Genomic DNA, 12655 nt, shown 5'->3' with positions numbered 1-12655 from the left:
AAATGAAAGAATGAGATGAAATGATAAGATGGAATGATGAAATGATGCAATGAAATGATGAAAGGAGGAAATGAAATGAAATGATGAAATGAGGAAGTGAAATGATGAAATGAAATGATGAAATAGATGAACCAAAATACTTATTCATTTTTTTCTTGGCATCCTTCTAAGAGTATTTTAGTGAGGTTAATTTCTAAAACTAAATTGCTATTCAATGGCTATACAGTTGGCCTTTGCACCACAGGGGTTTGAACTGTGCAGGTCCACTTAGCAAAACCAACAATTCTACATCCTTCTCCACACCCTGCCCATGAAAAGGATGAGGATGAAGATCTGTTTGATCATGTACTTCCATTTAATAACTAGTAAATATATTTTCCTTATGATTTTCTTTTTCTTTTCTCTGGCATGTTAAGAATACAGTATATAAGAAATATAACATGTTAAATATGTGTTAATTGACTGCTTGTGTTACTTGTAAGGCTTAGAGTAGGCTATTAGTAAAGTTTTGGGGGAGTCAAAGTTATAGTGGGTTTTCTACTGTGCAGGGGGGCCAGCACCCCAACCTCCGTGTTGCTTAAGGGTCAACTGTACATGTTATTTCCTTTCCTGTAAGAGAAAAATGATGAGAAGGTCTTTTCTCCAATAAGTGTATTCAAAATATAGCAGACTTGAAATGTGTTGGCGCCACCATTTTGCGTCTCACTTTGAAAACTTATTATTAAAAATCGTACTAAAGCCTTACTTTTCCAACCTTAGAAAAAATGTTACAAAGGAGTGAAACCATGCTAGTTTGCCCCGAAATTTGAAATTATCTTGTAAAAATATATTTTTACATTAATTGCTTCCAAAATAGAGATCAGTTGCATACAAATGGCAGGTCACCCTAATCCACCCTATGACTGCACTTAGATTCATGAGGAATTGTGCCATCTAGAAAGGGCAGAGAAGAGGAGCCACATGCTTTGATTCTGTTGTCACTGTGTACTTACTGCTAGGAAGAGGGCATGTTTGTGTATTTTTATGCTAATTATTATCCAAGTAGTTAATGATTTAGGCTTTCAGAGCCATATAAAGATTTTTTCCTTTCAGATATAAACTATCTTGCATTGTTCTTCTGATCATATGAGGGATAAATTTGCCTAAATATTCTTCAGACCATAATGTTATGTCCATATAAATGCCAGTAGCAAGAGTAGAATCAACCACAGCTGCCTTTGTAATTATTAAAAGCATGTGTGCCCATAAGTAATTGGCATTTTATATAATCAAGAATCTTTGATATAATAATCTCTCAACTATTTGAAATGGCTCACTTATATTAATTTTTTATGCAAATACATATATATAATATTGTATATGAAACAATTTTGGACTGTAGAACAGCTTCTTAGAATCTTGACTTAAATGTCCACAGTAATATTTGACTGAAAAAAATTTAGCACACTGTCACTATGATGAAAAAATTACTATAAAATTATTTTAAAAATTTTTCCACCCTAACATTTAGAACATTCTCACATTTGTGGTTAAAACCTATTGTGATTGTTCCTAGAATTTAGATAAAAAATGTTCCAGAAAGTTTGAAGAGAAGCACTTCAGTCAATTTGTATTTGTTCAAGCATGAAGAAATGGCATTTCATTGACATTTTAAAAACTATTCAGATTTGAATTCAAGTGTTTCAAAGATATCTTATTTTTAAATACCAAAATAGGAATAGAATATGAAGGGCTGGTTATGAGTAATATGATACACTTTTATGAGAGGATGAGATTACAATAACAATACCTCCTCTCATAGAATAGCCAGCAAGTCTCCACTAAATAACAGTGCCTTGATTTTATAGATGTTTAATCATGGATATTGAGTTAATGTGAACCATTTGTAGACACAGGAGTTTATTAAAGAGTTATATAATATCTTTCAAGTATTTAGAATAGTGTTGAAATTAAGCCTGCATCCCCACGATTTTCAGAGGTGCTGATGCCTAATAAACTCAACCCCTTGCATGCCAAAATTGGCTTAAAGCCCACCCGTTACCCAAGCTACACTTCAAGCATCAAGGTTCAAAAATGTAATTTTAAATATGCAAGAGTTTGAGGAATTCACTACTCACACTTTCTTGAACAGTCTATCCAAGTGCATCAAGCAAAATGTGAGTAAAGAAATTTTGGCCAAAGGATTGATAGTAATGTTGAATACTTTTAATAGTAGATCTAAGATTAAAAGGTGAGAGTGAGGGTGAGAAGAGTGTATGAATGCTTTGTGTTCTGACAAAGAGAATGTAGCACCCATGTCCTACCTGCTTGGTTGCATTGCCATTGCCCACGGTAGGCTATTTTATCCGGGTTTTTAGGTTTTGTTTTGTTTTTTTCTTTTCAGGAGAGTTAGTCCAAGACAAATAACTCCATAACTGGTATAATTGGAAGACTTTAATAGTGCTTAACATTTTATACATAGCTTTATAACAGTTTTTTTTCTTTTTTTCTGAGAGATTCTTTTCAATATACCCCATCATGGTTGAACTCAAAGTCATTGCTTATTTAAAATCTACAACTGCTGACGTTTTGTAACCTTTGCATTCCAGGTAATTGGTTTTTTGTGCATTTTCTGTATTTTTCTCCATCAGTCTACCTAGATATTTGTTAGATTTAATATTTTAATATTTTTCTGAAAAAGTGAGCTTTTGCATTTTTAAATATATACTCTGTGGCTTTAATTCTGCTTTTTCATGTACCGGTTCCTCCTCTTTTTTTTTTTTTTTTTTTTTTTTTTTTTTTTTTGAGACAGAGTCTTGCTCTGTCGCCCAAGCTGGAGTGCAGTGGCATGATCTCTACTCACTACAACCTCCACCCGCCACATTCAAGCAATTCTCCCACCTCAGCCTCCCGAGTAGCTGGGATTACAGCTGCATGCCACCATGCCAGGCTAATTTTTGTGTATTTAGTAGAGAATGGGTTTCACCATGTTGGACCAGGCTGGTCTCGAACTCCTGACCTCAGGTGATCCACCTGCCTCGGCCTCTCAAAGTGCTGGGATTACAGGCGTGACCCATGGCGCCTGGATATTTCCTTCGTTCTTTATGTTTATTTTACTGGTTTTATCTCTCTCTCTCTCTCTCACTGTTTCTCTCCTTCTCACATTCACTTTGCAGTTGTCAAATAGCCCAGGTGATGTTACAGATTTACTCCTTATAAAAGGAGGCATTACACATTATACTTGCATCTTAGTGGCCTTAAAAAAGTGTTTGGTTCATTGTATTGACTATTGACCTTTATAATATTTCAATATTCATTAAAATAGCTTCCAACCAATATTATTAGACTTATGTTTCTAGCTTTCTTTTTTGTATTGATATCTACCTTCATTGCTGTTTGTTTAGGAAATATATTCTGTGTCACGTTATTTCCGTGAAAATTGTTTGAATTTGTGTTATGGTCTAGAAAATGTTAATTTTTGTAAGTATTCTGTATGAACATGAAAATAACATGAATTATAATATTCATGTTCCTTATAAAACATTTGCCCTTTTTAAAATCCACTAGCTTCTTTTAAAACTTACTCTTTTAATTTTTTCTTTTATCTATTACTGAAAGATGTGTGTTTGAAATGTCTATAATGATTTGGGGGCTTATCCATTTCTACTTACTTTCTGATATTTTTGCTTTATATAATTTGACTCTCTAAATACGTGTGTGTGTGTGTGTGTGTGTGTGAGAGTGTGTTGTGTGTGTATTTATGTATATATGTATCAGGCTAATGCACATTTAAGTCATCACATCTTAATAACTTAAAATTTTTATCACACTGGTTAGACTAACTTATTTTAATAAATGTTTCTAACTTACATTCTATTTTGTCTGCATAGCAACTTTTTAAAAAATTATATTCATGTAGTATGTATGTATATCATATATACACAGTATCTGTATTGTTTGAATTTCAAAGTTTCTGTAAATTTATATATTAGTTGCCTCTCTTGTAACTATGATAGAGACGGATTTTTTTAATTTTGCCAATCTTTGTATTTTAATAGAAACATCGTGTACTTAGGTTTAAGTTAATCTTTGATCATTTATACTTAATTTGTTTTATTAATTTGTTGTGTATATATATATATAAAATGTCTCATTTTCTCCTATTAGTTTCTGTCTTCTTGTTTTTAAATTATGACTTATTTTTATTGTTTTCATAGATACAACAGAGAAATGCATAATGTCCAGCGAATTTATTAAAGTTCCAAAGTCGGTCGCGCGCCGTGGCTCACGCCTGTAATCTCAACACTTCGGGAGGCCGAGGCATGTGGATCATGAGGTCAGGAGTTGGAGACTAGCCTGACCAACATGGTGAAACCCCGTCACTACTAAAAATACAGAAATCAGCCAGGCATGGTGGCACGCGGCTGTAATCCCCGCTACTCAGGAGGCTGAGGCAGGAGAATTGCTTGAACCTGGGAGGCAGAGGTTGCAGTGAGCCGAGATGGCGCCACTGCACTCCAGCCTGGACGAAAGAGTGAGTGAGACTCCTTCTCAAAAAAACAAAAAAAAAGAGTTGCAAAGTCATACTCACCTTTCTGCTCTTGTCGGACAATTAAGGGGTCTTTGAATACTTCAGCCCTAATAATTTGCTTCCTAACATACATATTGCAGTGCTTATCTAATTTTGAATATCTTTTTGTTTCAACACCTAATTTTTTATTTAGATCTATCTGTATGTTTACAGTATATTTTGCTCTGTGTTCATTCTCTGATTTCAGAACTTCAGCCTTTCTGAAGCATGTTTTCAGAGTTTCTCTTTAGTTTCTTTAGTGGAATTCTGCTGGTGGCGTTTTGTTTTTTGTCTCTAAATATGTTATTTAGCCATAGGTTGATGAATATTTTTCTTGCTTGAGAATTTCAGAATGGCATTATTATTTTTAACAAATACTATTATTTTACCTTTCATTCTTTCAGATTTCAATATGATTAAAGGTAATTTGATTTTTCTAGTGCTAAGTGAAATATTTTTCCCTTCCTGATTGTTTACTATTACTCTAGGAGATACGTAGGTGTAGGTTTATCTCCATTGTAGCTTGCTTAGCATGCATGGAATTTTTGAACATGCGGATTAGTGTCTTACAAAAGTCTAGAGAACTTTCAGCCAAAATACCATCACATATTCTCCCTTCCCAGTTCTATTCTTGTATGAGAACACTCACTACACACATGCTACACTTTCTCACTGTATCATCCATGTCTCTTAATGATTCTGTCCACATTTTGCATTTTTTAAAATTTTCTGTAATGCATTCTGAAATATTTATGAACTCTCACCATGGCCATGTCTAATCTGATGAGTTCATTTTTGAGTTTTTAATTTAAAATACTATATTTTTATACAAACTACTTTTCGAATTTGCTACATCAATTTTTTAGTCTCCTAAAAATATATTCATTTTATTTTAAATTTTTTTAAAGCAAATTTGCTTTATAATCTAACAGTGATATTTCTACTAATGAAACTTTGTGGATCTGTTTGTACTCTTGTTCTGCTTTCCTTTCAGATGGTGGAATATCATTTCCTTGCGTACTTAGATGCCTTTGAATGACAAATATTTATTTTTCTCTGAAAATTATTTTTGTGCACTTTTGAGGATTAGTAAGAAGAAAATTTGCCAAAGAGAATTTGAATTTTTTTGTGAGTCTACTAAAGACACCACCATTCTGGGACCACATTATGTTAATTCTTGGCCTAAAGGTGTTTGGATGTATGTTTGGACTGCACATTTAAACAATTTTTAAATTAATTGCTGTAAATCATTAATGATTGAGTTTCTTTAAATCTGTCCAATCTCAAGTCATTTTTATTTGCCATTTCCAGGGAATGTGAAATGGGACTAATTTACCTCTGATTCTTGTTTATACTGAGGACAGAAATTTTGGTCCTAGCTTTAGGGAGGAGCTCCTGTGTGATGCCCTATCTTGGGAAAAGCTGTGTATTTCTTTACTGTCCTATGTGATGAATGACAGTAGGAATCTGCACTCATTCATTTTGGTACATTTCCGTAGGGCAAAATCAGTTTCGGTGTTTAGGTATATTTTGTCTGCTCCCTGCGTTCCCATGGTTTTGACCTTATATTTTACTTTTTTTTGTGAACATACCAATGCTTCAATTTTTTTCCAGTAATATAATCAACTATATTATGAGAAAGAGAAATATTTTGATAAAACACAAATTTCATGTTTTCCTACTCTAATTGGCTTTTACGTAAAAATACAGGTAAAATTTATTTGTGCTTTTTTGCTATTTCTGTTTGGCTATTCTCTGTCTATGTCTTCTCCACATAGACACAATTAGGGAATTTTGTACACTCTTGTGCCAACTGCTTTGATAGTAACAAAATGTATTTCTCGAACTCCTAGGTATAAAACTCAAGTATCCACAATTTAAATTGTTTTTCCCTCTCTTCTATTATGTTTCCAGTCTCAATAGAAATCGATGCCAATCCAGAAATACAAGCATTATTCTAATACTTCTAACACATTACAGATATAGATTAAATTTTCTAGATCTCCTTAAATACTATCATTTTTCACTACTTGTATCTTAACTGTTAAGTTCAACACTTTCTATAATATTAATATGTTGTGAAAGTTTCTTTACTTTCTTATTTGTCCCAGGTTCGATGTTTTGCAGTCTCTACCTCACCCTGTGAAGCATAAACATTGTACGTGCTGTACAAATAATACATAGTTCATGTGCTTAGAGATTGCACAATTTTTATTTGGTTGACAATAGCTAATGTTTTCTTCTTCATTTTCTACTTCCTGATTTTTCTTTATTTAGTATATACTACATTATCATAAAAATAAGAACATTTTACAAACTAAAGCAAAAGCAACCCTAAGAATAAAATGCACAAATAAAATATATAAACATACAGTTAGATGTACCATGTACCCTTCTAATTTATTTAGACATTTAATTTTAGTACAATTTTAATTAAAGTCTGTGTATTATCTGTCATCGTCTTAGTATTTTTTATATAACAAATTTTGTAAATCAAAAAGTCTCAATGTCATTATAAACTATCATGGCAGAGGTTGATCTCCAAGGAATAATTTCTCTCCCAAATTATGCCAATCAGAATTTCACTCTACCATAATTCTTTTAATCAGTTTCAGAGAAATAATAAATTTCAAAATTGTTCAAGGTAATTGTTGTAGTTCAAGTACATTTTGACAGGTGTAAAACTGTAGACAGACTGATACAAACATATTCTAACTGACTCAAAAGTATATGGGACCTATTTTAAAATCTAGATTTTAAAATGTCGTGTCAACATACACATGTTCTCCTTGTGAAATAATTGCTTTTTATTCTCTGGATAGAATAATTTAATCTTTAAACCTTCAATTCACTGTTAAAAACAAAATATTACATAAGGATATGCTTATAAAAATAATTCACAAGTAGCTTTTCAATTCAGAAATGTATGTGAAAAATCATCAAGCATCTAATGGATTTCAAGGAGAAATGGGTTAGTAATTTATTCCATATGTCTCAATTTTTCCTAGACTCAAGTCTTACTTTAAAATAATTGTAGGCGTTTAAGAAACCATGTGAACTAAAAAGAAGAAATTGTGACACTGCCGCTTAGGTTTTTTAAATCTTTGGACATGAGTCAATATATTTTTTAATTTTATCTTAATTAGACATTGTGAGTTCACCATCTTCCTGTCAGTATAGCATCCAAGCTGATTATCATAGATTACAAGTTCAACTATCAACTGTGTTCTGAGAGTCTAAAAAAATAAATGAATGTATTTGTTTGGGTATTCTTAAAGCAGGAGTGAGGACACAGCGAAAGTGAGACAAGGAAGAGAGAACAAAATAAAACAGGAAAGATAGAAAAGCCAATGCCACACGTGTTTAGAGGCAAGTTCCTGTGTTAGATATCTGGGCTTAATTCTATGGGAAGCTATGTGGAACATGCCTCAGAATTACATCACTGAATCCAGGGAGATTCTTCTTAGTTACCCTCACCTTTTCTTCCCACTTCATGCCCAGTATCAAGCTCCCATGCTGCTAGAGAGAGTCCTCGGCTAGAAACAGGTGCAAATTCTGGAGATGAGACCTTGTAGAGTGTTAAGGATGGTTTTCTTCACAGCAGCTACAGGTAAGGAATAGGGGCTGGGCTATTAATACATCTGCTACAAATCAATAAAGGCCTTATGCTCCTTTTGCTGATCGACAATGTATTTAAAAATATTAGATGATCAAGAAGGGCTGCAGAAAGGAGGAAACAGAAACAAACAGCACACCTCTTGGTTTATTTTTATTCATTTCATCAGTTTCAAGGAAAATGCGTTGGGAGTTCCTGGCATAAAGAATGTCACAAAGACATGTTTTCAATAGTGGTGCTATCCCTAGGGCAGAGAAGACCCAGAGAAAGCCCAAGTGGCTGCTGCAACAAAGTCAGACACCGTGCCACCTGTCCACACTCCTTGCCTCTGCCATCGTGCTGAAGATCGGTTTAAAGGACTGGCTTCCCTCCCCCCGAAATTAAAAGAGCACAAACTGAGAAACTGAATGTAGGAGACAGCAGTGGATTATGCTGTTCCCAGGGGTCACCTCAGGTTTGGAAGCATTCTTTCAAATTAACCCATCTCAGGCCATCTGCAGAGAAGAAAGGTGGTACCTAACTTTTTTTCTTGTCAGCATTTAGTAGCTGTGTTTTATTGAACAAATAAGTTCCCACAACCTAGTTTTTTGTAACTAAATGTAGTAGATTTTTAAATTTTATCATCAAAATCTATGGACAATTTTTGATTAAAATAGACTCCATGTCTATGTCCTGCTTTTCCTCTTATTAATTACATTGTTGTATAAAAGAACAAGACATCAGAATCAAGAATATCTTGTCTCTTGGCTTTGAATTTATACAAGGTGCTCTTTAATGCTGTCTCAAAGGACATATTTTTACTCATTAAAGAGAAGATCGGAATCGAGTTGTATGCACTGCTCCAACATATTAATAATTAAAATTAGGAGGTAAATGTGGTCAAAGCTATAGAAAGACTTGAGATGTCATTTATATTGATTACTGTATAGCACTCGACAAACAGAAATGGTTAAATAATAGTTTATATAAATATTTTGTAGCATTTCAAGTATTTGAATGCCTGAAGTTTCTCCTCTTATATAGTTCAGATTATCAATTTGAAGACTTATTCCGCTAGTTAAAATGTTTTTAGTCTCGTTTGAGTATTATATAAAAGCAATTTTCAGTTAAATGTGTTCCACTTACATAAAACATTACAAATTGTGAGTATTTAATTACATTTTCATGTTCCTGTAATGTCTTTAGAAGATTTTCATATCATTACCTATCAATATATGTATGCTTTGTCAAAGAAAAGTCAAACATATATATCATTGAAATTGAAACTTTTTAAAAGTACTTAATAATTCTATTGAAAAACCACATCCATAGGAACAATTACAATATAATATTGTGAACATGTAAATATATATCCTATGTCTATTTTATATATAAGCATATATGATTAAAATATAGTTAAGAATTTTTAAACCTAGTATTATAAAGTAAAATTAGTTAAACTTCTGATGATTATTTGTTAATTAAGATAAAATTATTTTGATTTGGGTGATTTTAAATAAAAAAATTACATGACAAAAATTCTTTATAAAATGTTTATGATTTTTACTTTGGTTTTATCACTTTATTCCACTCTTTTATTTTAAGATGACCTGCCTTGTTTAAAACACTGTATCCATCTTAATTAAATTAAATTCCATTTGTCAAAAAATTAACAAATGATTTGCTCTATTATACAGTGCAGTTATAAACTGAGTCAGTATCTCAAGATTTGATCCCCATTATCGTCTGTGGCCCTATTTGTTTTATAAATGTAGTGCCTTTTTCCATGCCTGTCACATCTCTATTGTTCATTCATTTTTCTCTTTGTTCCTTATAGGGAGCATTGCCTATCTCTAGATTAAACAAAAGTTGCATCTTAAAAAAGCACAATAACCTGCTCAATCTTTCTCACACAGACAAATGTTTATTAAGTAATTAAAGTGTAGATGATGATACAAAGAGCTTGATTAAATTAGATGCCAAAGTACACTTTGTGATTCAGAATATGAATGGTATTTAATTTCTTCGAAATCAGTAATTGCTGAGTGACATTAATGCCAATATTTCAGAAGTTTTTCTGGTTAGTGAAATGGGTACAACATGTAAAAGTTTCCAAACTCTGAAGGGCAACATTATTCTATAATTAAGAATTAAGAATTCACATTAATTATTAGGGAGAAATAATTATTAAAATTAATGACAGAAAATGTTTTTTTTATTTAGAAAATTATTTTGTGCATGAACATTACTGCAAGTTTTGCAAGAAACAAATTTATAGAAACAATTATGTGCACAAGATGAATTTAATAACATCTTGATATTTTCCACGATTAGAGTTTTATTTGGTAAATCTTTAAATGCATATCAACTAAAGATAATAAATGAATCTTGGAAATCTTGTAGGTAAGGGTAAATATTAGGATGCATCCAATTACATTTACACACACATACAGTTACATTTACACACATGCACACACTGATACACGTGTGTGTATATATATACATGAATTTACCAATTGATTTTAACTAATATTTATAAGAGCCAGTAAGATTGATATATATTGTTGAACCTGAAAAATATTTATTATATACATGTTATAAATAAATAGTAATTGCACTAGGCATTTGAAACTGTACTAAAATATAAGCTGTGAATATTTTGTGATCATTACAAATTCTTACACTGAATATTTTTATTTTTATAATATGTTTGATACATGTGTACATTTTTTACAATGTATTATTTTATTTTTGTCAGTCATGTGATGCATAATAACATTTCAGTCAATGATGGATTACATATACAAAAGTGATCCCATGAGATTATAATACATATTTTTACATACTTTTCTATGTTTAAGAATGTTTAGATACATAAACTCTTACCGCTGTGTTCTTATTGCTGGCAGTATTCAGTATAGTAATATAGTACACAGGTTTGTAGCCTAGGGGAGAGAGGCTATACCATATAACCTAGACGTGGTAGGCTGTACAATTTAGGTGTTTGTAATATTCACTGTGATGTTTACAAAACGATGAAAATGCCTATGGATGCATCTGTTAGAATATATCCTATCATTCAGTGATGTGTGACTGTACTAAAATGCTCAATGTAAGTTTCGATGCTCTCCATAAAATTGCTGTCCTGTGAAATACAAATCTCTCACCCATGGCCTGAATATGTTTGCAAACTAAGCAGATCATGGGAAGGAGAATGTGTTGGCGTCGCTGGGATGGTTTTCTCACACTACATGAATAATATCTCCAGACTTCGTGAATATGAGCCACCTGCATAGAGTTAAAGTAGGCATCTCTTTGCTGGGAAATTTATCAAATGGGAGTATGAAGTGTTTTTAAAAGATACGTGTTTGTTTGTAGCCGGTAGGCCTACAGTGGCTCATGGCAATGGTTGAGGTTGCTAAAATTTGGTGGAAGGAGGCAAAAAAATGAAATGGCCACTTATATGGTTTATGGATCTCTTGTTTCTGTTGAGTTACAGATTCAGCTGGCTGTTTCTCCAAATGTTAGTTATTTGGAGAAAAAAATGATGGTAATTTTGGGGTAACAAATACAATATTTGATGAAAGCAAATTTATTGAGGGTTAGACAAACTACAAGATACTTTAGGCTGCAAAGTCAACACGAGACTTCTGGCCCAAATTGTGCAGACTTTGGGTCCAGCTGCAAAGTTCAAAGGAGGAGGCCATATAAGACGATTCTCACTTTTAGACACCAACTGCCGGTTCAGGGGTTTCCCCAGAACACCCTCAGTTTCAAGAATTTACTAGAGATACTCACAGAACTCATTGAATGCCATTGTACTCATGGTTTATAATAGAGAAAGGGTACAAATTAGGACCAATCAAAGGAAGAGACATATCACATAAGGTGGAATCTAGGAGGATTTTGAATGTTAAGTTTCCATTGTCTTCAGGACATATTACCTGTCGTTGTTGTACAGCAATAAACATGGAGTACTGCCAACCTGGGGACCTCACCTGATGCTAAAAAGACACTATTTCGAAAATGAAAAGACAAAGGAAAGGATGAGATAAGATGACCTTCCACATTAAGGCACTGGAAAAAATACCAAAATAAACCTAAAGCAAGCAGAAGGAAGAAAATAAAAATCAGACAAATTAATAATTAATAATTTTAATCATATTTGTTAGTATTCACTAATTGATATTAATTCTTGACTAACTTTTTAAAAACGAGAAATATTCACCTCCCAATTTATTCTGTGGGGCCAGTGTTACCTTGATACAAAAGTTAGTCCAAATAGCATAGAAAAATAAAACTACTATAATCATAAATGCAAAATTCCTTAAAAAAAACTAACAAATCTAGCAACATATAAAATAATTATACACTATGACAAAGTGAAATTTATACTAGTAATCCCAGGTTGGTTTAACAGCCCAAAATCCATTAAGGTAATACATCTTATCCATAGAATAAGAAACGAGAATTGCATTATCATCTCGATAGATTCAGAAAAGACATTTAAC

General features: G+C 32.5%; 1 pseudogene across 2 annotated transcripts in view; it reads left to right on the top strand.

Moving 5' to 3' along the window:
* The window catches only part of LOC101929322 (integrator complex subunit 4 pseudogene), a 62731-nt pseudogene extending 51434 nt beyond the window's left edge, over positions 1 to 11297 (top strand). For both annotated transcript variants that reach the window (NR_157837.1, NR_157838.1), the window contains one exon: positions 4197 to 11297. The product of NR_157837.1 is annotated as an integrator complex subunit 4 pseudogene, transcript variant 1 (transcript). The remainder of the gene's footprint in view (positions 1 to 4196) is intronic.
* The last annotated feature ends 1358 nt before the right edge of the window (positions 11298 to 12655 follow it).

This window comes from Homo sapiens, chromosome 7 (assembly GCF_000001405.40).
Source record: "Homo sapiens chromosome 7, GRCh38.p14 Primary Assembly".
Lineage (NCBI taxonomy): Eukaryota > Metazoa > Chordata > Mammalia > Primates > Hominidae > Homo > Homo sapiens.
The sequence above is the reverse complement of the archived record's forward strand: the minus strand, read 5'-3'. Positions and strand labels throughout refer to the sequence as shown.